We start from the raw sequence: 23,669 nt of genomic DNA on the forward strand, positions 1-23,669 counted from the left end.
GTCTCAGCTACTTGGGAGGTTGAGGTGGGAGGATTCCTTAAGCCCCTGGGAAGCAGAGGTTGCAGTGGGCTGAGATTGCACCACTGCACTTCAGCCTGGGTGACAGATTGACACCATATCTCAAAAAAAGAAAGAAAGAAGAAATTCTGGAATAAGGAATGCTGAGTTTAAGGACATCCAGGCCGGGGTGTCCATTATATGCAGCTGAGGAAAGAGATTGTAAACATACATTTCAGAACAATAAATATCACTAGTACTATTTGCATCTATGGCTTTTACAAAGAAAAGAAGGCTGAGAACAGAGTTCTGGGCAACACCAACATTTAAGTGGAGGCCAGAGAATGAGATTTCCTGGAAGGGGGCCAAGTAGGTGTGATCCAAGTAGCAAGAGAAGAACCAGGAAGTAATATGTCATAGAAGCCAAAGAGTACAAAGAGAAAAATATAGGCCGAAATGCCTGCTATGTTTGTAGTATAGAAGGAAGGTATTGGTGATGTAGATGAGAAAGCTTAGTCAGAGAATGTCAGATGGTAATGAGCTGATGATCATGTGTGGATTATCCCTTCAGTAAGCCAGACTCCATAGGAAAGGAGAGAGACAGAGGAGATGCACAGTCAAGAATTAATAGAACTCATTTATGGGGCCCATCTGCAGGTCTCCACCCTTTTGAGCATGACTTTAACTCTCAGATCTAACTGAGCATCCTCATGGAACTGCTCCTCTATGTCCTGGGGTCCTCCCCATTCCTCCAGAGTTCATCATGAGCCCCTGCCAGTAGCTCCTAGACACAGCCTTTTCTGCCCAGCTCCTCCTTCTGCAAGACTAGAGGGGAACCACAACTTCCACCCTGCCTCTTTGGTCTTCCAAAGGAGAATTAAGATCTCAGCCTTCTTTTCTTTGTAAAAGCCATAGATTCAAATAGTACTAGTGATATTTATTGTTCCGAAATGTATGCTTATGATCTCTTTCCCCAGCTGCATAACAGATCCCCAGGCCTGGATGACCCTAAACTCACCATTCCTTATTCCAGAATTTCCCCTCCCTCCCTTCCTTTCTTCCTTTCTTCCTTCCTTCTGGCAGCTCCACACCTGACGACGTGGATGTATATGCCATTCTATCCTGAAAGACTGGAGAAATAAAGTGGAAATTGTACTGTATAGAAGGAAACAAAAAGCTGTGCTCAAGTGTGTGGTCTGGGAAGAGCGGGAGCAGGCAGGGCCAGGATTGGGCCTGGGCCTTCTCCATGTCAGATCTCCTGATTGGCTTTCCCACATCTGTGGGCCCAGGTTCACACATCTCCCAAGGCAAACATTAATTCTCAAAGGTCAGACTTATAAAGAAGAATAAAAGATATTCTTAACTTTTAGAGCTTTTAAGATTTCTTTCTGCATGGCTTCAATAAGGCACAGTATTATGATCTCTTAGTTACACCAGAGAAATTTTGAGACAAGATACTAAAAAAGAATTCAAACTTTGGCAAGGATTCTCCTTAGTTTCCATAGGGAGGAATGCTTAATGCCAGTCTTGGCTCCCCTGCCAGAAGGGGAAAGAATGGAAGATTAATGGAGCCAAGTTGTTGAATAGGTAGAAAGGGTGTGGCTCTGGGCACAGGCATGAACAGGTCACCTTCTGGGACAGAGGAGCAATGAAGGGATTAGCTGCAGGTGCAGACATGTTTGCAAATGGGACAAAACAAAGTTCTGTGTGATGGCTTTGTTTTCTTGGTAAATTGCAAACAAAATCTGCTAGCAGTAAAAGTTGAGGTCATTGTTGCTACTGCTGCTGCTAAACGCAGAACCACATGTTGTGCACTGAATATGTGGGTGTGTCTTTTATGTGTGTTATCTTATTGAGCCCCTGACACAGCCTTCTGAAGTATTCTTAGTGAGATTTTACATATGAGGAAAATGGAACTTAAGATATTTATTCATGTCGCCCAACTAGTAAGTGCCAACAAGGGGAATGGAAGGAAATGGCAAATGGAGCAGCAGAGAATGATTTCTTGGTGTTTGAGAAGGAAATAAACACCAAAAATTTGCAGAGACACCAGTCTAAGGACTGAGTGATTTTCTCCAACTGTGTGATGGAACTGGGGCAGAGGAACAAGGGAGGAAGGGGACTGGACTGATTCGGGGCTGATATTCTACAGTGTGTCATGGAAGGACAAAGGGGCAAAAAAGTTGAGAATTTGGGCAAAAGTATAATCAAGAGAGAGGCTATGGGATCCAGGCTGGAAAGGGGAGCATAAAGCCTGTAGACAATAGGTCAAAATAAAATGAAAGGGTCATAGAAGTGGAGTTTGAAATGATGTCGAAGAGGCAAGTATTTGGGAATTTGGGATTCAGAGAGTCAAAAAACTGAAATAATATGAGACTGATAAAGTTATGGTCAAAGAATAGGAAATTGTAGTTACAGATTTTACATAGGGATCAATTCTGAAAAATCATCAGGTTCAGCATTACCAAAATGAAGTAAAGGTTAATGTAGTTAGACTTTAAAAGCACAAATAATTGAACTAGTATATAAAATGAGATGAATACTTATACATTTATTTATTTATTTACACCTTACTCTAGTCTTTAAAATATGAGGTATAGACTTTTTCTAGTAGTTTTTTTTTTTTTTTAATTTCCATAGGCTATTGGGGAACAAGTGGTATTTGGTTACATGAATAAGTTCTTTAGTGGTGATGTGTAAGATTTTGGTGCACCCATCACCTGAGCAATGTACACTGAACCCAATTTGTAGTCTTTTATCCCTCATCCCCTTACCACCCTTTTCCCCTCAAGTCCCCAAAGTCCATTTATCATCCTTACCGCCTTTTGCATCCTCATAACTTAGCTCCCATTTATGAGTGAGAACATATGATGTTTGGTTTTCCATTCCTGAGTTACTTCACTTAGAATCATAGTCTCCAATACCATCCAGGTTGGTGCAAATGCCATTAATTTATTCCTTTTTATGGCTGAGCAGTATTCCATGGTATATATGTACCACAATTTCTTTATCCACTTGTTGATTGATGGTGTTTGGGCTGGTTCCATATTTTTGCAATTGCGAATTGTGCTGCTGTAAACATGTGTGTGCAAGTATCTTTTTCATATAACGACTTCTTTTCCTCTGGGTAGATTTGGTGAGAGCTTGTCCTCTTTACCTCTGAGTAGATTTGGTGAGATAATGATGGTGAGACAAGCTAGAAAGAAATATGATAAATGAAGAAATATATTGTCAGTAACTGTGCTGGGAACTCATATATTTGGTACATGAAAATGACAAAGGGAAACTGGTTTTGCATGAAGCAGGAATGGAAAACAAGAAAAATTCTGACTTGCCTAATGGTAAGAGGAGTAATGGTGAGTACACAGTCCACACCAGAGAGGACCACAAAGAAGCATCATATCCTGGAAAGAAGGAGCAAGTTTTCTCTATGGCAAGGAGGTAGGATAATCATCATGTGATAAACTCGAGAGTTGTAGGAGACTGGGGACATGATCAAGGTATTGGAGGCAGCACTGGGTGAGAGCACAAGTCGGAAGGTGAGTGACACTGAGTGAGGCCAAGAGAGGAATTGCAAGGTGATATGCGAATGGGAATGAAACTTGCAGTTGACTGATTTTTTTCATTTGTGTCTTCTGCATTTATTTCTTAATTCATGTATTTTATCAGTATGGTCATGGATTTTATACTTTATAATCCAGTATTTTGTTATTTATTTTGTTGGTAAAATTGTTCGGCTTTGGCTATTGGGAGCTATTTTGGTTGGCTCCTGTGTCTCTTTGGCACATCCCCATTGTTTGACGTAGCCCCACTGTTTTGTTTTTTGAGCACAGCCTTACACTCTGGCATGACAAGATGTTCCAGGCTTATCTTGTATATTCTTTCCATTGGCCCTGGGATCCATCATTTCTCCCAAGAACTCTAGTTGCTTATATTGGAGAACGGCATTAGAAACCAGAATTTGGATGCTAGGTGTGCTTGCTGTTGCTGGGGTGTCGTGGATAGGCCCTCTCAGCAGACAGAGCTAGAAAATACATGCACACTAACCCACATATATATGCATATCTGTAATTAGTTCTATATCTATTCATCTGTGTCTATGTTAAGCTAGATATCAGTTCATTCTGATGTCTCCAGATCTAATCCAACATGGTTCATGGTGGCCTTTCTCCTCACTCAGCTGTAACCTTTCTCTCCAACAGTGAAAAGCCCTGGCTCCCATAATCTGCCATCCATTTTTTGTTTGTTCAATTGCAGTACACATGTACAGAAGTTTCAGAATTAACTCACACCCTCATGAGAAACAACCTTGCCAACTAGAATACAACATTTATGTACAATTCCTTTTGTCCTTAGTCTTGTAGTTTCCCGTCAAAGCACCATTTCCCAGTGTGACTTAGGTCAGCCATTTTTTCTCCCCCACTCCCACTGGTTGATTTTTAAACTGCCTTATTTATGTTTGGATATGTCATTATCAAACCATTTTCTACTCCATTTCTAAGTGTTGGCTTCTAGAATTTTAATCAGCCTAGCTTTTTTTAGCTTAATTTTTTAAAAAGCAACATGTTCCCTCATTTTCTCTCTTTTAAGGATATACTACAGTCATATCAAGCATGAAATTCTATCTTTCCTAGCTCATTAATAAATATAAACAAAATACTATTGGAAAAAGACTGTTACAGGTAGATGTGATAGAAGCTGGCTAGAGTGAGCAGGTTCACAAGAATCCTTGTGCAGGCAGAAAGTGTGACTCCTGGAGGCAGAGAAAAGGAGTGAAAGACTTGGAAGAGGTCTTCAATGATGGTTGAGGGTGAAATTAGCACACTGCCTTTCTTCAGTGCTATGTGCCTTAGGAGGAAATTAGGCAACAGGAAATGTGAGTGGTTCCTGACTTTCCAGAAGGTCAAATGTGACAATGGAGACTTTCCAGTACCATCAAGAGAGGATAGTGGAACTATTTCCACCAACAAGGGGGCTCTAACTGAGGGGAATTTTGATCTAACTGAGGGGAATTCCTAGCCACTTTAAAGATTCAGCTCACAGCATGGATGCCTGGGGAACTGGGAAGGTAAACACATAAGTGGGTATGCACTATCATTTTGCACACTACTTTGAAATGGCAGGTGTGTTTGAAGTAATCCATTGAAAGGCAAATTTTGCTTTCCCAGTCATAAACCAACATTCCACAGAGACCTAGGCTGTAGGATTACAGTAACTTTGATGTCCAAGAAATAGTCATAAAAATACCTTTAATAATAGAAACTTAAGGGATCTTTGTCATTTGACCTTCTGGTTCCTGATCATGAGACAAGCTAGGGCGGAACTTGTAAAAAAAAAAAAAAATCGAGGTACAAAATTGTTGGGATTTACCCGATTTTTAAAAAATGGAAAAATGTAAAGTCACATGTTTTAGGGTCATCTCGTTAGACTACAAAGTCAACAGACCTGGAATTCCGTTCAACTGAACATATATGATTAATGAGTGCCAACAACAAACATTCTGCTAGGCTTCAGGGCTTTCTTTCTTTTGAGATGCAGTCTCGCTCTGTTGCCAGACTGGAGTGCGGTGGCACAATCTCAACTCACTGCAACCTCTGCCTCCCAGATTCAAGCAATTCTCCTGCCTCAGCCTCCCAAGTAGCTGGGACTACAGGCACATGCCACCACACCCAGCTAATTTTTGGAGTTTTAGTGGAGACAGGGTTTCAACATGTTGGCCAGGATTGTCTCCATCTCTTGACCTCGTGATCCACCTGCCTTGGCTTCCCAAAGTGCTGGGATTACAGGCATGAGCCACCGTGCCTGGCCAGGGCTCTCACATAAAAGTGATTCAAACACAACAGTGCACATAGGAGCTTACAATTCAGTCAAGGGAACATGAACAATACACACACAGATAATGGTTGCATAGACTTCATGGTGAAGGTAGCCTTGGGGATGGGCCTAAAAAATGAATAGGATGTCACAAGGTGGAGATGAGAAGGAAAGCACTTCAAGCCAACTGACCAACAAAGCACAGATGTAAAAAATGCATGGTATTTGAGGGCAGGGTCAGTAGTCCAGTTTGGGGGTAGTAGTGGTTTTCAGAGTGTGATTCCCAGAGCATCTACTTCAGCATCACCTGAGAACTTGTTAGAAATGCAAATTCTCAGGTTTCAACATCTGACCCAGTAACTGCACCCTTAGGCATGTATTTCAAGAGAGATGAAAACCTATGCCCATGTAAAAACTTGTGCATGAATCTTTATAATAGCATTATTCATAATAGTCAGAAAGTAGTAGCAACCCAACTGTCCATCAACTGATGAATGGATAAATAAAATGTGATATATCCATACAGTGAAATATGATCCAACTATACAAAGGAATGAAATAATGATACATGTTACAATATGAATGAAATTTGAAAACATAGTAGTAAGTGAAAGAAGCCAGACACAAAGGACCACATATTATGTAATTCATTTTATATGAAATGTCAGAATAGGTTAATATATAGAGAGAAACAGTAGATTAGTGGCTTCTGGGGGCTGGGGACAGGGAGATATGGGAAGTGGCTACTATGGGTGTCTTTTAGGGTGATGAAAATATTCTAGCATTAGATAGTGGTAATAGTTGCAGAACCTTGTAAATATACTACAAACTACTAAATTGTACCTTTTGAGAGGGTTACCATTATGGTATGTGAATTATGTCACAATTAAATAAAAAAAGAAAGGAAAAGTATCATGTCTCACCTGAGTTCTCATGAATTGGAAGCCCAGGTGCTGGGGTCCTACAGCCTGCATGTCTATACCCCTCCAGGGGATTCTGATGCACACTACAGTATGTGACCACCTGGCTAGAGCAATGGGTCTCAGTCCTGGTCAGACATTATTATTAAATAGGAAATTTTTTTTAAGTATCAATTTCCTGGGCCCCACATCCAGAGATCTGATTCACTGGGCCAGGGAATCAGTGTTTTTCAAAAGCTACTCACATGAACCTCTTGTGTACCACAGTTGAGATCCACCAGTCTAAAGCCTAAGGCATGTGTATGTGGATGCTGGAGAGAGAGATTAGAGCCTCACTTTAGAAAGCCTTGATAAACAGCCTTGAGTGGAAGGAGATCATTAGTTCTGTATATTAAGATTTTTCTGGCAAAATGGGGAGAAAGGAATTGGCATGTGTAGACACTGAAGGCCATATGATCAGTTAAGAAATCTGGACAAGCGAAAGGAATCAAGGGTCGAAAGCAGAGTTGTGGTGATGGCAGGGAAAAGGAAGGAGTGAGAGAAATGGAGAAAGACACACAGGCTGTGAAAACAAACAGGACCGGGACCCCCTCAGTCCGGTCCTATTTGTTTTCACAGTCTGTGTGTCTTTCTCCATTTCTCTCACTCCCTCTCAGAGTGAGGAGTCGAAGTTGCCTTCAGAGTTGAGTCTAGGTGACTAGACAAAGGTAACATCGTCAAAACAAATAAGGAAACCAGGGCCAACGCGGTGGCTCACGCCTGTAATCCCAGCACTTTGGGATGCCGAGGCGGGAGGATCACGAGGTCAGCAGATCGAGACCATCCTGGCTAACACGGTGAAACTCCGTCTCCACTAAAAATACAAAAAAAAATTAGCCAGGCGTGGTGGCGGGCGCCTGTAGTCCCGGCTCCTCGGGAGGCTGAGGCAGGAGAATGGCGTGAACCCGGGAGGCGGAGCTTGCAGCCTGGGCGACAGAGCGAGACTCCGTCTCAAAAAAAAATAAAAAATAAAAAAATAAGGAAACCAAGGGTTTCTGCTGGTGTTTTGGTGTGAAAGAATGAGAAATACAGGACAAAGGGGAAAGTTTGAAGGGTAAAGGTGAGAATAAAATAAGGATCATCCAGGACACACCTACTTTTAAAACAAAACAACAGCTGCAACTATTCCACGAGCAAATCAGATTCTGCCCAATTTCTCTGAAATTAGCATTAGCATTGCAAATATAAGATTAAATCAATTATGGGAGCTTTTATTAGTTTCTAGTGTTGCCATAACAAATTATTTCAAACTTAGTGGCTTAAAACAGCATAACTTTATCTTAGGTCAGATGGCTGACACAGGTCTCCACTGGGCTGAAATCAAGGTCTGGGCAGGACTGCATGCCTATTAAGAGGGTCTGGAAAAAAAATCCGTTTCGTTGCCTTTTCCATCTTCCAGAGGCCACCTGTATTCCGTGGCTGATGGACCCTTCCTCCATCTTTAAAGCCAGCAATAGTGAGTTGAGCTTTTTCATAGTTCAGCACTTCGACTTCCTCATCTGCCTACCTCCTCCACTTTTAAAGGACCCTGTAATTACACTGGAACCACCCACAATAATCTGGGTTAATCTCCCTATTTTAAGTTCAGCTGATTAGCAACCTTAATTCCAACTCCAACCTTCATTCCTCTTTGCCATGTAATGTAATATAATCACAGATTCTGAGGTTTAGGATGGGCATCTTTGGAGGTCATTATTCTGCCTACCACACAGCCATTTCATATTTTTAGACTCACTATACAAATTCAATTTCTGCCTTCCAGATCTGTTCTAGTATTCCATAATGTGCATGAAACTATGTTCCTTTTTACAGCAGCTTTACTCAATGGTAGTGGAACTTACAACAAGCCAGATAACAGTAGGGTATCACCAATAGCTTACAGTTCAATACTAAGGAATAATATTAACTTAAGAGTGTGCCTATAAACAAATTGCAAAGGATTTCTTTCTTTTATCATAGAAATCAAGAAGTTTCTGAATCACTTTCAGTTTTACCTCTACTTTTGTCCAGTTTATGAGACTTACATTAGTTTGCTTGGCTGTAGTAACAAAGTGCCATGGATTGGGTGGCTTAAAAAACAGGAATTTATTTTCTCATAGCCTGGAGGCTGGAAACCTGAGATCAAGGTGTCTGAGGGCTATGGAGGAAAGATCTGCTCTACGCCTCCCTCCTTGGCTGATAGACATCTGTCTTCTCCCTGTGTCTTCATAAAGCATTCCACCTTTATATGCCTGTATCCAGATTTCTTCTTATAAGGGCACCAATCATATGGGATTAGGGCCCATACTCTAATTTAATTACTCCTTAAATGCCCTATTTCCAAATCCAGTTACATTCCAAAGTACTAGGGATTAGGACTTTGACACTTGAATTTTTGTGTGAGAGACACAATTCAGCCCATAACGTAATAGGACAATGAGGTATTATCCATAATAAGATAAACCTGTTACAAAATGAGCATCATGTTCTGACACCAATGGTTAGTGGCTGCCTTACAGTATCTTTTGGGAAGGATTCTGACGGCATATATAGCTCAGTTAGAAAGAGCACTAAGATCAACTAGCAATGACCCCATGGACGCCAGCTGGTGAGGTGGCAAGCGATGTGCTGCAGATTTGCAAACCTTCTCATGGCTCAGTTGCCACACAGGCAATGAGAGATTCTTTTGCTAAGTACAGAGTAGGCTACTATCAGGAAAGATAAAATTGGATGCTGATGGACTGAGCCATCAGCTACATTATAACCTGGAATTTATTGTCCCACCTCCACTCTAAGTTTGGAATGTTGTTATTTGTACTATATGGTTCCAGACTGACCAGTGTCTAAATGCTTAAATAATAATTTGAAAACCTGCCTAAGGAATATAAGGTATTAATATGAATTATTTATCAATAAAGGATGCCTTTTATAGGAAAATGAAATCATTAGAGAAGGTAGTTATTACATTGTTTTGACTTTATACAGCATGGATTCATTTAACAATAATACACTTAGACATGGCCCATAAAAAAGAATTGGCTGTAAAACTATCAGGAGACCTGATACTGTTTTCATTAAAAATGACAAACCATCATTATTGAAGGATGAATATGATTTTTATAAGAGTAACTGTGTGAAAATTTTGACTGAGCTATAGTCCCCAGAATGGTTCAGGGTACCTTTATAGTATCAAAACTCTGCCAATAACTATCACAGCTTCAAACCAGCCACTTAGCAGGCAGATTCCTGAGAGTGTATCGGCAGGAGAATTTTTTTTTTTTTTTTTTTTTTTTTTGAGATGGAGTCTTGCTCTGTCGCCCAGGCTGGAGTGCAGTGGCAGGATCTCGGCTCACTGCAAGCTCCGCCTCCCGGGTTCACGCCATTCTCCTGCCTCAGCCTACCGAATAGCTGGGACTATGGGTGCCCGCCACCACGCCCGGCTAATTTTTTGTATTTTTAGTAGAGACGGGTTTTCACCGTGTTAGCCAGGATGGTCTCGTTCTCCTGACCTCGTGATCCACCCGCTTGAGCCTCCCAAAGTGCTAGGATTACAGGCATGAGCCACCGCGCCCGGCCATCAGCAGGAGACTTTAAGACAATTTGGGTTAGAGCCTTATCCAAATTATCGCAGTCATACATCTCTAGTCTCATGCCACTGGTAACCCAAAGAGATGGCAAAAGGAGAAGGGCTGAGACTCAGCACCTTTCACTAGCAGGAGCCAATTCTGTTGGCATTCCTGATGTTTCAAGACCCACATCAACAGACTCCGAGAGAGTTTCCAAGATAAACTGGAACGTATGCTGGATGTACTTTTAACCACAGAAGTTAGTCTTTACTGAGAAGTATGTAGCAAGAGCAAGCTGACTTCTGCCACTCTGTTCAAGATCCTGGGGACAGTGTCATGTGAGGCTGGAGCACAAGAGAACTAGTGTTACATTGCCAGGTGGGCCAACATTAAAGCGCCCTGTCAGGGTGACCTGACCACAGTGGAACCAGGACTGATGAGAGTTACCAAGAGAGCAGCATAAATGATCCCTCCTCTCCAGTCTCTCAAATGAAGGAAGAGAATCTCTTGGCAGTTCTCATCATTTTAAGTTCACAAGTAATATATAAATATGCATCATTGTGAAGAATATGAATTACTTTTAAATGTCAACACATAAATGCAAACAATTTAAACTATATAAAATGCCTTCTTCCTGACTTTCTTAATCTTATTCTTTTTCATAGATTTAACCATTTTTTTCAGTTGTGTGGCTATTCCTCCAAATCTATAGTTTATACATTTACAGATAATATTTATATTATAATATTTTATATATCTCATATAATATATACTTATATATGACATATATCATATAATGATATATAAATATATGAATAAAAATATGTATTATATAGTAAATATATTAAATAAAAATATAAATGTCTATATAAATATATATGAAAAAATTATAGATTTTTAAATATATATGTATGTATGTATATAAAACATTTTACCTATTATCCGGCAAATTGCTTATTTTTCACTCAGCATTTTGTCTTCGAGACTTGCCATATTAATGCATTGATCTACCTCTTCTTTTTAATCATTACATAGTATGCTAATATCATATTTCAATACTCACTTTTCTGTTGCTTGCCATAGAGACACTTTCCCATTCTCTGAGACTGTGAGTGCTGCTCTGCCTTTCACTGGGCACCTGGAAACCTTCTTTTCCATGTTCATTCTGACAAGTGAGAGTTTTCTCTATAATTGATTCATAAAAGAACAAATGTTACAGAAAAGGTTATTTTATTTTTGTTTTAATGACTACCCAAAATTCTGTTTCTATTAGCACCAGTAGTATACCAGAGAGTCTTTTTCCCACACTTTCCCAACACTTGATATTGCCAATCTGTTCAATATTTTTCAATTTCATGGCCAAAAATAGTAAATAATTTGCACTTCTATCACCTAGTGTTTATGCACCTGCTAATGTAAGACAGAAACATCGTGAAATGCTTAAACATGGTTTTAAAAGTTGTTAAGTAAGGAGAGAAAGAGGTATCTCAACTTATTAAGGCAGTTTTTGTTAATAAAATGGTGGAAACGATATTGTCTTCCCCACAGGGTTGGTTTGAGAGAAAGGAGAAAGTCTTTGTACAAGTGTTTGAGCATTATGCAAATATTACTTATTTACCTATTGTTATTGTAACTTTTGAGTTACTATAGTTTGATGCATTTTGGGGGGAATGAAATGAGACCAAATAATTTTTTCTTCCAGTAGAGAGCTATACTCTGTTTCATTCCCTTCCTATTGACTAGTACAGAAACAAATAGCAGCAAAGCGAGGGCCATGGATGATAGTTTGAGAGTGACTGGAAGTTTTTATTATTATAGAAACCATTATTAAGCTTTAAGACTTAGAAATAAGATAGTAGGAAAAAATGTGTCTTAAAACTACTCATTATTTACTAAAACATTAGAGAAAGCTACATTTCAAGGCTGTGACTCCTTGAAAGCTAGTGGACTAAGCCCACTGAACGTCTACATCATGCCAGTCAATGCATAAGGCACCAAGGATGTAAAGATGTGAGAAACTGTTCCTAACAGGAGAAAGACATACAATTGTAATATGATATGTTGCGCCAGATTGTCTAGGTATAACAATACCATTCCTGCTCCCTTCTAGACTTGTCCTGTACACAAGATCCGGAAGCCTGAAAGCTACACTTCCATTATGTCTTATCAACAACATTCCAGTTTAAGTCCCACCACTGAGAGGCACTCATATGAGCTTCAAGAGGTAGGAGAGAAAGGGAGGTCATTATTGCTCCAACTGCAGTAGGCAGGCAGGCCTTTGACAGACGGCAGATACGAAGTTTTGCAATTTATTCAGAGTCCTAGAAATCACCCCCTTTGTGTTACAGCCACCTGAGATAGTCAGTGGTGATTGCCCACAATTCCTGAAATTCCCGATTTCCTGAGAGCCAGGAGTGACTGGGCTCCCCTGCCCTTCCCACTGTTTTCTTGACATTGAACTTCCTATTTGAAATACCTTGAGTAGTTTTCTTTTCTTTGCTGATACAGGTGGTAGGTGCTATGGGATTATAGCTTTCAATTATTAAAAAAACAGCCTAAGGTAAGGATACATATGACCTCCTGGACAGTGGAAAACTTGCTTGACTTCAAGGGTGTTAGGAGACTCAGCTGAGCCCAGAAAGAGCTGAGCTACCGGGTATTGGAGTAGCCAATTAAAGCAACAATCCAAAAGGAGTCAAGAGAGGCAGAAAGGGCTAGGCCTTTAATCACTTACTACCATAGTACGAGAAGAGAAAGTGCCAACCACCCTGAGCAATCTTCTGCCAAGGAATGGTGTGCAGGTCAAGGGTCAGCTGAATTAGCACAGATATGGGCATCATCTCAGTGCTAGGGAGCTCAAAACAAAAGGCTTCAGCAGTTTATGAACCCTGGGGTCAAGGGGAGTGTGAGGAGTAGAAAAGTACTGGGCGCTGAGTCAGTGGGGAAAGGTATGCATTTTCAAGGTTTTTTCCTTCTTCCCTCATAATGCATCTGAAGAGGATCTGTGCCCAAGGCCTCAGATAGAGAGACCTGGAATGAAGGACTAGTATGGGAATGCAAGCATGTGAAAAGCCTGATTCCTCTGTTGCATCTCCCTTCAGAGGCTGCCATGCAAGGGCTGTGGCTGTGCACTATGCATGGACTGTGCATCTCATCTGGGGTGGGGAGGGCAGCTTTGCCCCTGAGGCCTGCCAGCTAGAGCCTTTGTCATTGCCTCTGGACAGGCCTGAAAGCTCACACATTGGTTTTTAACCAGGAGTAAACTTCTCTGAAGGAGCAAGATTGGCAGTTTGCTAAAAGGCATATAGATGGACCAATGTGAATGGACATAAACCACAAGGATCTTTGCCCCTCCCCTAAACACTCAACAGAGTATCCACTGCAGAGTGGCACTCAGCCAGCAGGAGGAGAAGACTTGTCCTATGGATGTCAGCCAGCCTCTCTCTTTGGCCACCATTATGCTTGGAAAATGGGCCCATGGATAGAGACCGCATTGCCTCAGTGTTTTGGCTCCCTCTTGCCAAGCCTAATCTAGTTATTGATACTGGTCATCGCCTGACCTTCCAGCAGCAGTAATGGATGCTGAACCCACAACATGGAATCATTCCTCAGGGAGACCATAAAGTCACCTGGTGGCAAGTTGATAACATTGGCCCCTTCTGCGCTGGAGGAAGCAAGGATTTGTTCTTGTTAGGGGAGGCAACTGCTGTAGACTCTAAGCCTCCCTGCGTGTTCTTGCTGGGTATGACAAGAATGCAAGGCCCTCACAGCTCTTGCCAGGTCATTTATCAAGGTTGTGTTTGCAGTAATCAACCTTGAGAGATGAAGTAATATCTCCCTCCAAGACAAAGAGAAGGTTTGTTTATTGCTTTCTATAAAACAATGGTTTCCCAAGCTGCATATTCCTCAGTTGTGATACAAACTTACTACATCTATCTGTGCCCTCTATCATACCCCCATGAGACTTGGAGACAGGGGAGCTGACATATATCATGCTGCTTGCTGTGCTGGGAGTAAAAGTCTTTGTCTCTGATCTAAGAGTCTTATATCTTCTGCCAGAATCCATAAAATAGTAACAGGTTAACTTATTACCTTCAAAAGTAAGGTAAAATCTAATTCCAAACCTAACAGTTTTTACCAGAATTGCGATCAATTCCTGATATACACTTGCCTCCTCCACCTGTAGTACCGCTCTATAAGCACCATGAACCAAGGCGTCATAGAATGCCTGAACTATTGACTTGGTACCCTGTACAAAATTGCCTTAGATCAAGGAACCTTTTTAACAGAAACGGAGGTACCAAAAAATGACATGACCAGAGCATCTGCAGTTCTTATCACACACCCCCTTATTCAGAGGCATTTGGTTTAACAGAATGATGGTCTGTTAGGTAAGGAGCCAGATTAGGCTCAAAACCCCATGGTTCTGGGATACTTGCCTCTAGAATCTGCTAGACACATTGGACCATGGATGGATATAGAGTACTACATCCCCCATAGCTTGAATGCCTGGGACCTGAAACCCAGTTGTGCAAGTAGAAATGGACCTTCTCCCCATCCCTCTCAGTGTCCTGTTTATAGAATCTATGCTTCCCTTCCAGCAAACTTTGGCACTGCCAGGTTAGAAGTCTCAGTTCTTTGGGGAAAAACTTCAGCCAAAGGACACAATAAGGGTTCCATTGAACTTGGAGCTATAACTACTACCAAGTCGTTTGCGGTGGACCAGCAAACTTGGAAAGGAGTTATATTAGCATGGAAGTAATTCACCCTGATTCACATGAAGTTCTACGGTTTTTTTTTTTTTCTACACAATGGGGCAGGAAAGAATATGTTTAGAATCCAGGAGATACACTGGGGCATCTCTTGGGAATTCCACGCCCAGTGAGAATGATAAATGGGCAATAACAAGTACCAGAGCCCAGTAAAAGCAAGGCAACCTAGAAGCCTGGATACCTTAAGGATAAGAATTTGAGTCAACCATCAGGCAAATCCTCCAGGCCAGTTCAGTGATGGCTGAGTAAAAGGGAACTCTAGAATGGATGGTGTAGCAGAAAGAGGATGAAAATCAATTACGGTCACAGGACCAGCTACAACTTTAGGAACTGCAATTTACTTCACTGATCTTCTTGCTTTAGTCTTCTTAGAGATGTGACTGGCTACACCTTGCAATAAACTCTATGACATTGAACTTACACTTTTTCTCTTAAGGAATAAGTGAGACTATCTTGTTCTAGCAAAAACGGAAGCTTAAAAATTAACTGGGCATGGTGGTGCACACCCATAGTCCTAGCTACTCAGGAAGTGAGGCGGGAGGATGGCTTGAGCTCAGGAGTTTGAGGCTGCAGTGAACCATGATCACACCATTGCACTCCAGCCAGGGCAACCGAATGAAACCCTGTCTCTAAGAAAATAAAAAATAAAAATAAAATTTTTTAAAGGCAGCTCCATATTTTCATTGTGGTGCTAGAAACACTAGAGAGTGCAACTGAATCTGAGTGGCGCAAGGGGCGGGCTGCATCAAATACTCCTTAGGCGCCACATCAGATCATTTTGGCCTCACCCCTCTGAGGTCTTTGGCTTTTTCCACTTACTCTGAAGAACTTCTTGCAGCCACACCCAATAGCACCTGTCTCATGCCAGTGCCACATACTTTTTGCTACCTACCCTGGCTTCCCTGTTGATGCTGAGGTATAAATCATCTGAGAACTTCTCAGGGAACTCCTGTAATCACAACCCAAAAATTCTGGAGAATTAATGTCATGAATCCCACAGGAGCAATATGCAACCAATGGGAAAAGGAGCTGAGTGAATAAATTCTTCTCCATTTGCCTCCTACCCCTACCCACTCCAAACAGTAGATATTGAGAATGCCACTCACTTAAGGGGAAGTCATATCACCCCCCCAATCACCACTACCCAGCCTCATTGGCTTGTCCTTGAGCCTAAATAATTATGCTAATTACATTAGAACACAATGCCACTTAACAGACTCCAATATTCCCCACACACCAAAGCCTTCAGGCAAGGCAGTGTCAAGCAAAAAACCTTTAGTGCTCAAGTCCTTTTAAGTTGCAGAGAACGTGTCCAAAAACTCTCCCCACAGAGGCAAGCTAAATTTCTCAGTCTCCCACACCATGGTAGAAAAGTAATATTCTGATTCTTCCTACTCTGGCTTTGCATGATCTTCTTTCAGGTTTTTTCATAGCAGGCTTGGTGCCAATGGTTACAACCAGGTCCTTAGCAATTGCCCACGGCTCTCTGAGCCATCAGACAGGTAAAGCTTGTAGTGTGCACGCAGTACTTCCCAGCACTGGGGCGAGTGAGCCAACCTCATTCAGCCCGACTCGCCCATCAGATGATGCTGCAGGTTCCCACTCCCAAGGGGCCACTCCTTGTTTCATCTGGAATGAGTGCCAGACACTTCCAACTCATGACTTACTTGTTTTCTTTCGTTCTTTCTTTTTCTTTCTTTCTTTCTCTGTCTCTCTCTCTCTCTTTCCTTCCTTCCTTCCTTCCTTCCTTCCTTCCTTCCTTCCTTCTTTCTTTCTTTCTTTCTTTCTTTCTTTCTTTCTTTCTTTCTTTCTTTCTTTCTTTCTTTCCTTCTTTCTTTCTTTCTTTTTTTTTGAGATGGAGTCTCACACTGTCGCCAGGGCTGGAGTACAATGCCGTGGTCTCGGCTCACTGCAACCTCCGCCTCCTGGGTTCAAGCGATTCTCCTGCCTCAGCCTCCCAAGTAGCTGGAACTACAGGCGCATGCCACCATGCCCGGCTACTTTTTGCATTTTTAGTAGAGACGGGGTTTCACCATGTTAGCCAGGATGGTCTCAATCTCTTGACCTCGTGATCTGCCCACCCTGGCCTCCCAGAGTGCTGGGATTACAGGCATGAGCCACCACGCCTGGCCTCTTACATTGTTTCTCAAATGAAAGGGCAATGAACATCTAAAGATGGGAAGAACGCAATTGGAACAAATTAAATTAATTTTATAAAGTAATCAGATTAACTCTAAGAAATAATATCACTGCCATTTTACCCCAGATGAATGTCAATGGGTTAGACTAGATCTGCCGGAGTCCGTAGTCATGCCTTGGAAACCATTTCTCTGCAGCACATATCTCAGCAGAGGATTTGCACAGAGCTTCCTGTGCAGTGGTAGGCTCCATGTCATGGGCACCAGAACATTCTTTACTCGTTCTCCATGGCCATTCCTAGAGAGCTGCGCCAGCCCTCTGACAATGAGCAGTAAGAAGCCATCATTTTGCTCAGAATGGAGACTGCAACCACATGGAATCTAAAGGAAGCTATGCTGTGTAAACCATGCCACCTACTTGGGATGGTTATTGTCAGTGTTGGTTGTGCCAGGCCAGTTTCTTGGCTGTCATTTTGCTAACTTGCCTATATATTTGCTAGAAGTTATTCTAAATGAGAGAAATTTCTGTTGCTAGTCCCAAGTAAATTGATTGTTTTTAAATTCTGCCTTAAATCAATCCACATTTTAGATCTGTTATTTAAAATCTATTTGACAATGTTGCAAGAAAACACCCACATGTAATGGAAGTATTACCTTATGGTAATGTGTTTTTAATCACATGAATTATGAAATTACTAAGAAACTTCAATATCAAGGGATAACATTAGAAGGGACCCTAAAAATTGTCAAGGCCAACTCTCCACCCAGTTCCGGAATCCCTGCCACACACCAAATCCTTCACTCTGTGACACATGGCTTACACGGCCCCCAAGGCTGCTACGCTTATTATGCCTGGCTCCAACAAGGTCTCCTCAATTCTGACCATTGCCCATTGCTAGAATCTTAAGTCTCACAAGGAAATAGTACTGTCATTTGTGCTTCATCTCAGAATTAGAGAAAACATAGAGCTTATTCCCATCTCTTCCAATCAACCACTAATTCCGGAAAATCTCTTTCCTCTGCCTTGAGTTACAGAATGGAGTCTCACAAGTGTACCTGGTTGAAAACAGATATGGGGATAAGGAGAAGGAGTGGAGAAGGAAGAAGGGCCCTCACTCACCCGCCAAAATATCCTGTGGTATATGGGATTTTATATATTATTTTTCTATAAAGTGTCTTCAGTAACTACCTCCATGGAAAAATTAATTTGAAAACACAGATAAAAGCAAACAGCAATGAAGAGCAAAGTTAGGACTTGGCTGGGTATTTAGAAGGCCAAAGCCAGCCTGGGTGAGGTGCTGCAAGGTGACATGTGACAGAGAGAAGCCATTCCAAGGAGGAGCCTGGGCAAGGAGGAGTGGGGCTGAGCTGCAAAGGGTGGAGTCACTGCCACATGAAATTTGTCAGCTGAACGCTGGGCTGATCTGGCCCTCATGCTGAGTTATTTGGAAACATTGCCCACTTTCTATCTCTGTCATGATTAGCCAGTAGTATCCTTATTCTAGAGACAACTCTGAGACCATGTTTTTATTCTGTCCTCAACTTCATGAGACCATATTTTCCTGAGCTCCACTGTTCATTTCATTCTGAATTTATTGGCTCCTTTTCAGGCTCAGTTGTTCTGCCATAACTTTGTTCATAAAGGCCCTCCCAGAAGTCTGACAAAATGGATTTTGAAAACAGCCCTTGTGAATTTCAGGCTGAAGGAGTAAATATCAAGCTGCAGAGTGTCTCCCAGAACCCAATTCTGTATTTGGTCTGATAATGTGAGGCAATGAGAATATAAGTCTTGCTTGGGGCGCACTATTTTTAAACCCCTGAGTGATGCAGACAGATACTGTGAAGTGAGATTGCACAGGTTTATACATGTTGTTTGAACAGAAAGTTCTCAGGAGAAGGAAGGTGCTATTGAGAAAGCATAGCCAAGAGCAGTGCTCTCTGGGGAAAGGGGGAGAACAGAGCCTCCGAACAACTGTCTATCATTCCCATTCCCTAAGCTCTCCGGGCTTTGGGCTGGACCAATACTGGAGAACATATACACTAAGCCAATAAATGTTCAGAGAAACGAGGGGGAAAATAGTTCTACCTGATTCTCTGTCAAGTTTACCAATGGCTGGAGAAAGAACTTGGCAAAGCAATGACAGGACTTCAGGACCCACTCAGGTGACTTGAAGAATGACATTTCCCAGGATAGAAAGCTTTTCAGTTATTCTGAGACACTGACTTGAGTAAACCTGAGCAAATCACCTCCACAGGGTTCCCATTTCAACTAGCTAAGCTGTATGATTCAGAGCAAACTAAAATGAGAGATAACTGAGGGAGGTTTTTAAGAGAAAACGAGTTTCGGTATGAAACTATTCCTCTAAGGCATCGACAGCTATGACCAAGTCAAGCAAGAATGCTACCACCATGCACCCAGCTGGCTTCAGAGCAAGCCCTGGCACATAATTTACAAACTCTCCACTGTCTGTCTCTCTATATATACACACACTCCTACTATGATATTGTGATAGGTCTGTTTAAATGGGCTGAGTTACTAAAAAGAACCAGAAGCATCGGAAGCAGGATCAAGAAGTGCAGTTGTTAAGGACAGCACTAAGCAACATACAGCTGAATTGGAAAACCATTTTAAAAATTTGCAAGAAATGAGTCCCTTGAGCTGTGCATGCCCGCATCTTCCAAAGGGCAATTTACAAAGAAGTAAGATTTGATTAAAAAAATAAAAAATACAGGTGTCCCCTCAAAATCAATGTCCTAATATAAATACCAGATTCAGTTTTTACTCTAAAACAACTCAGTTATGTGGCCTTCACCTTAGAAGAATAGCCACCATTCTAGAAATGCATAGTGAACTAGGCTCTTATATGTAAGGTTCAGTGAATATCCATGGAGAGATGGTGGTGGATGAATGCAGGCACTCCGGGCCCTCAAAATCCAATTTAGCTTGGAGCCAGCAGCCACCACTGCTAAGTCCTGCCTTGTGACAGGGTTCCTGGGCATACTCCCTGTCTGCAATTGGTTTTAGGAACTTCAAGACTAGTTGTTAGGGCTCCTGAGCTGGATCGCACAGCCTCAGAACACACCCAGGTGAGTCAAATTCAGCGTAGGCAGTGTTGTAACATGGAGGACAGGGACAAATAGAATAAAGGAAAAAGGTCCCCCACCAATCATACCTGATTATCTCCCCAAGTGCAGTGAACTCAATTACCTATCTAAATAAGTGCTGGATGAGACTCTTGCTATAGTGACAATGAGCAGCTGCCTTTCTCTCTTCCTATCCCTAATCCACAAACACACCCTCATGTCATGAGTGAGCCGGGGTCAGAGAGCTCTTGGAACTACCTATTTGTGTGATAAGATTGCAGAAATCCTGAGCAGCATAGAATATCAAGAACCCAAGGCTCTTGGGTTCTGGGTGCCAGAGAAGCTCCACTGACGAAAGAGGCGGAACAGAGTGGTCACTGCAGCTGGTGTTAAGCAGCCTTGTCCACTGTGGCATTGGTCAGCCTCTGGAGCAGTGTTTCCCAACTGGGATGATTTTGCCCCCAGAGGAGAGTTGGCAATCTAGAAACATTTTGGGTTATCACAACTGGGGGAATGCTACTGACATCCAGTGAGTGACATCTAGCCAGGGGTGTTGCTAAACACCCTACAACACACAGGACAGCCCCTCAATAAAGAATCACCCGGTACAAAATGCCAGTAACACCAAGGTTGAGAAGCCCAGCTCTAGAGTATGCCACCAACCCTACTTTGAGTAAGAAGTTGGTTCAAAGGAGGCTTGTCAAGGGTATCAGTGTTTCCCGAAAGGAAGTAGTCATAATATGGTCTGGCCTGTCCTGGTTGAGGCCTTTGAATTGGGCTTGGTACTTGCTACTTCAGGTCTTATAAACAATTATACAGAAAAAATATATACATAGAAGGGTCCTTGGAACTCCCATAGATAAAATTTCCGAAAATCCTACTTTCTGTTTTACAGTCAACAGAAAAAGGTGACATAGGGCAGGGTGTTTTGTTTGTTTTGTAGACTGATACATCCCAAGTTCCTAGAACAATACCTGGTATATGGTAGACACTCAAAATATATTTTATCCAGTGAAGAATAGCCTTAGATCCACACAGAATCTTCCTCAGGCCTCCTCATCATTGGAGAAATAATTGCTAATAATAACTGAATATTTATTGATTGCTTATTAAGTGCTAAGAACTGTTCTAAATGTTTGTTATCTAAATTAACTGAATTGATCTTCACAATCACTTTTTATGAAGTAGGCACTATTATTAATCCCCACCTTGCAGATGAGAAGAATTAGGCAAAGAGAAGTCAAATAACTTATCCGAGGTCACACAACCAGTAAGTGCTAGGGCCAGGATTCAAACCCAAGCATTCTGGCTCCAGAACCCAGGTTCTTAACATTCCATAGGTGCCATCCCCCACGGAAGACATCGTATGCACGGCCTCACCCTGCAGTGTCTCACTCAGCCCCAGCGGGAAATATCCCTAACATCAGAAAAAAAGAGAACTTCCTGGCCTAGAATCAGGCCCTAAAATTATGATAAAGATACTAGTCTAGAATAAGAAAGAGTTGAACCGTCCCCAAGTTCTGGAAGAACTAGGGGAGTCTCTGAGGCTGGGAGGTGATGGCTGGGTGCATTTGGAGAAGACACTAGTGATTTGCCTGGCTCTCTACTCAGCTTCCTGAACTTTTGTCCTTGACCACCAGCCAGAGTCTCCTCCCACTCAGCACCCACCCCACCGGCTCAGTGGTGCCTCTGAACTTCATCAGAGAGAACTGGAGGAGCTCGGCTTCTAGCACCTCAGCTTCACTTTGATGTTGGCCTTAATGTTAAGCATCTCCTGACCCTGTGCTCCAGATAACACCCAGTTTGCACCCTAATTCCTCTAGGCCAACAACCTCCTTAGCTTCTGCCATCCCACTCCCTCCCTCCCAGCGGGGAGCTTTGCTCTTAAAACCCCTTCTTCAAGCCTGTAATCCCAGCACTTCGGGAGGCCGAGGCGGGCAGATCACGAGGTCAAGAGATTGAGACTATGCTGGCCAACATGGTGAAACCCTGTCTCTACTAAAATACAAAAAATTAGCCGGGTGTTGTGGTACACACCTGTAATCCCAGCTACTCAGGAGGCTGAGCCAGGGGAATCACTTGAACCCGGGAGGTGGAGGTTGCGATGAGCCAAGATCGCACCACTGCACTCCAGCCTGGGTGACAGAGCAGACTCCATCTCAAACACACACACACACACACACACACACACACACACACACACTTTTTCAGTTATGTCCTGTTTCTTCTGCCTGCCCACATCTTCTCAGATTGTCTTGGCTCTGCTGTGATATCCCTACACACTGCTCCCCGGCTCGTACCCTAACCTGCCTGGCCAGCCCTCCCTGATGCCACTGCCTGCCTGGACTGCCCCCTGGCATTAGTTCCCATTCTTTCCACATGCCATGCTCCACCTGCCCGGACTTGCCACTGCTTGCAGCTGCACTTGCCCTGGAGCATCCTCCCTGCCCCCTGGGATGGGTGTGCCTGTCTCTAGGTTCTCTCTTCTCAACTGTCTGGGGCAACCACCTCCTGATAGCTGACACCTCAGCTATGACGCTGCTGAGAAACCAAGCTAGACCCATGCTGAGGTCAGCAAAACTATACCTCCATTCTCAACTGCTTCCCAGAGCCTGACAGCTGTGCCACCACCTCCAGGAAGTTCTTCCTAAACTCCCAAGCCGAGTGGACCCCTCATCCTTGGTGAACCTCGAGTACCTTGGATATGTCTCTTTGAGAATACCTATTGCTGCCATGATATTTCTTTTTAATATACGTAACAGGACAGAGAATATTCGTTTTGTTAGTATCAGGTATGAGACTTCTCTTAGGGCAAAAATCATTTTTGTTGGGACATATTTTCTTGAGATCACTTGGGTTTAGTGAGTTCCTGCAAGAAATAACAGCTGGTACTCAAGCCTTGAAGAAAAGAGCAATACTGTATCACACAAGGAGAGGGATTTGTCTGATCCTCAGAACAAATGGGGAGAGTAAAGGAAGATGAAACCTACAAGCATGGAGAGAAAGAGTAAAGCCATCAAAACACAAAAGGCCATATGCTCTGTCATGAGACCCTTCCCCTGGAAAAGCCTGCCAGCCTTATAAAACTAACATTATGAATAGATTGTTTTTGGAAAGCAATGATGAGTTTGACTTTGGCATCCAGATTTATTTGAAAGGAATCAGAAACAATGTGTGGATCCAGATCCAGAGATAGCCGAATCATGAGACTGCAAGCCCTTGGGAATTAAATGTGTATGTGTGTATATATATATATATATATATATATATATATATATATATATATATATATATATAATATACTGCTAAGAGAATAGAAACTACTATGTGAATAATCCTCATGGTGTCTTATGAAAAATC

The 23,669-nt window shown here is 42.3% G+C and overlaps 1 long non-coding RNA gene across 1 annotated transcript; it reads right to left on the reverse strand.

Moving 5' to 3' along the window:
• Nucleotides 1-3,066: 3,066 nt before the first annotated feature.
• LOC105378021 (uncharacterized) lies at nucleotides 3,067-22,386 on the reverse strand. The gene is made up of 3 exons (XR_943062.2): nucleotides 22,347-22,386; nucleotides 11,379-11,500; nucleotides 3,067-3,193 (listed from the first exon to the last, which is right to left on the reverse strand). It is a non-coding gene; the product is annotated as an uncharacterized LOC105378021 (long non-coding RNA).
• Between the last annotated feature and the right edge of the window lie 1,283 nt (nucleotides 22,387-23,669).

This window comes from Homo sapiens, chromosome 6, assembly GCF_000001405.40.
Source record: "Homo sapiens chromosome 6, GRCh38.p14 Primary Assembly".
NCBI lineage: Eukaryota > Metazoa > Chordata > Mammalia > Primates > Hominidae > Homo > Homo sapiens.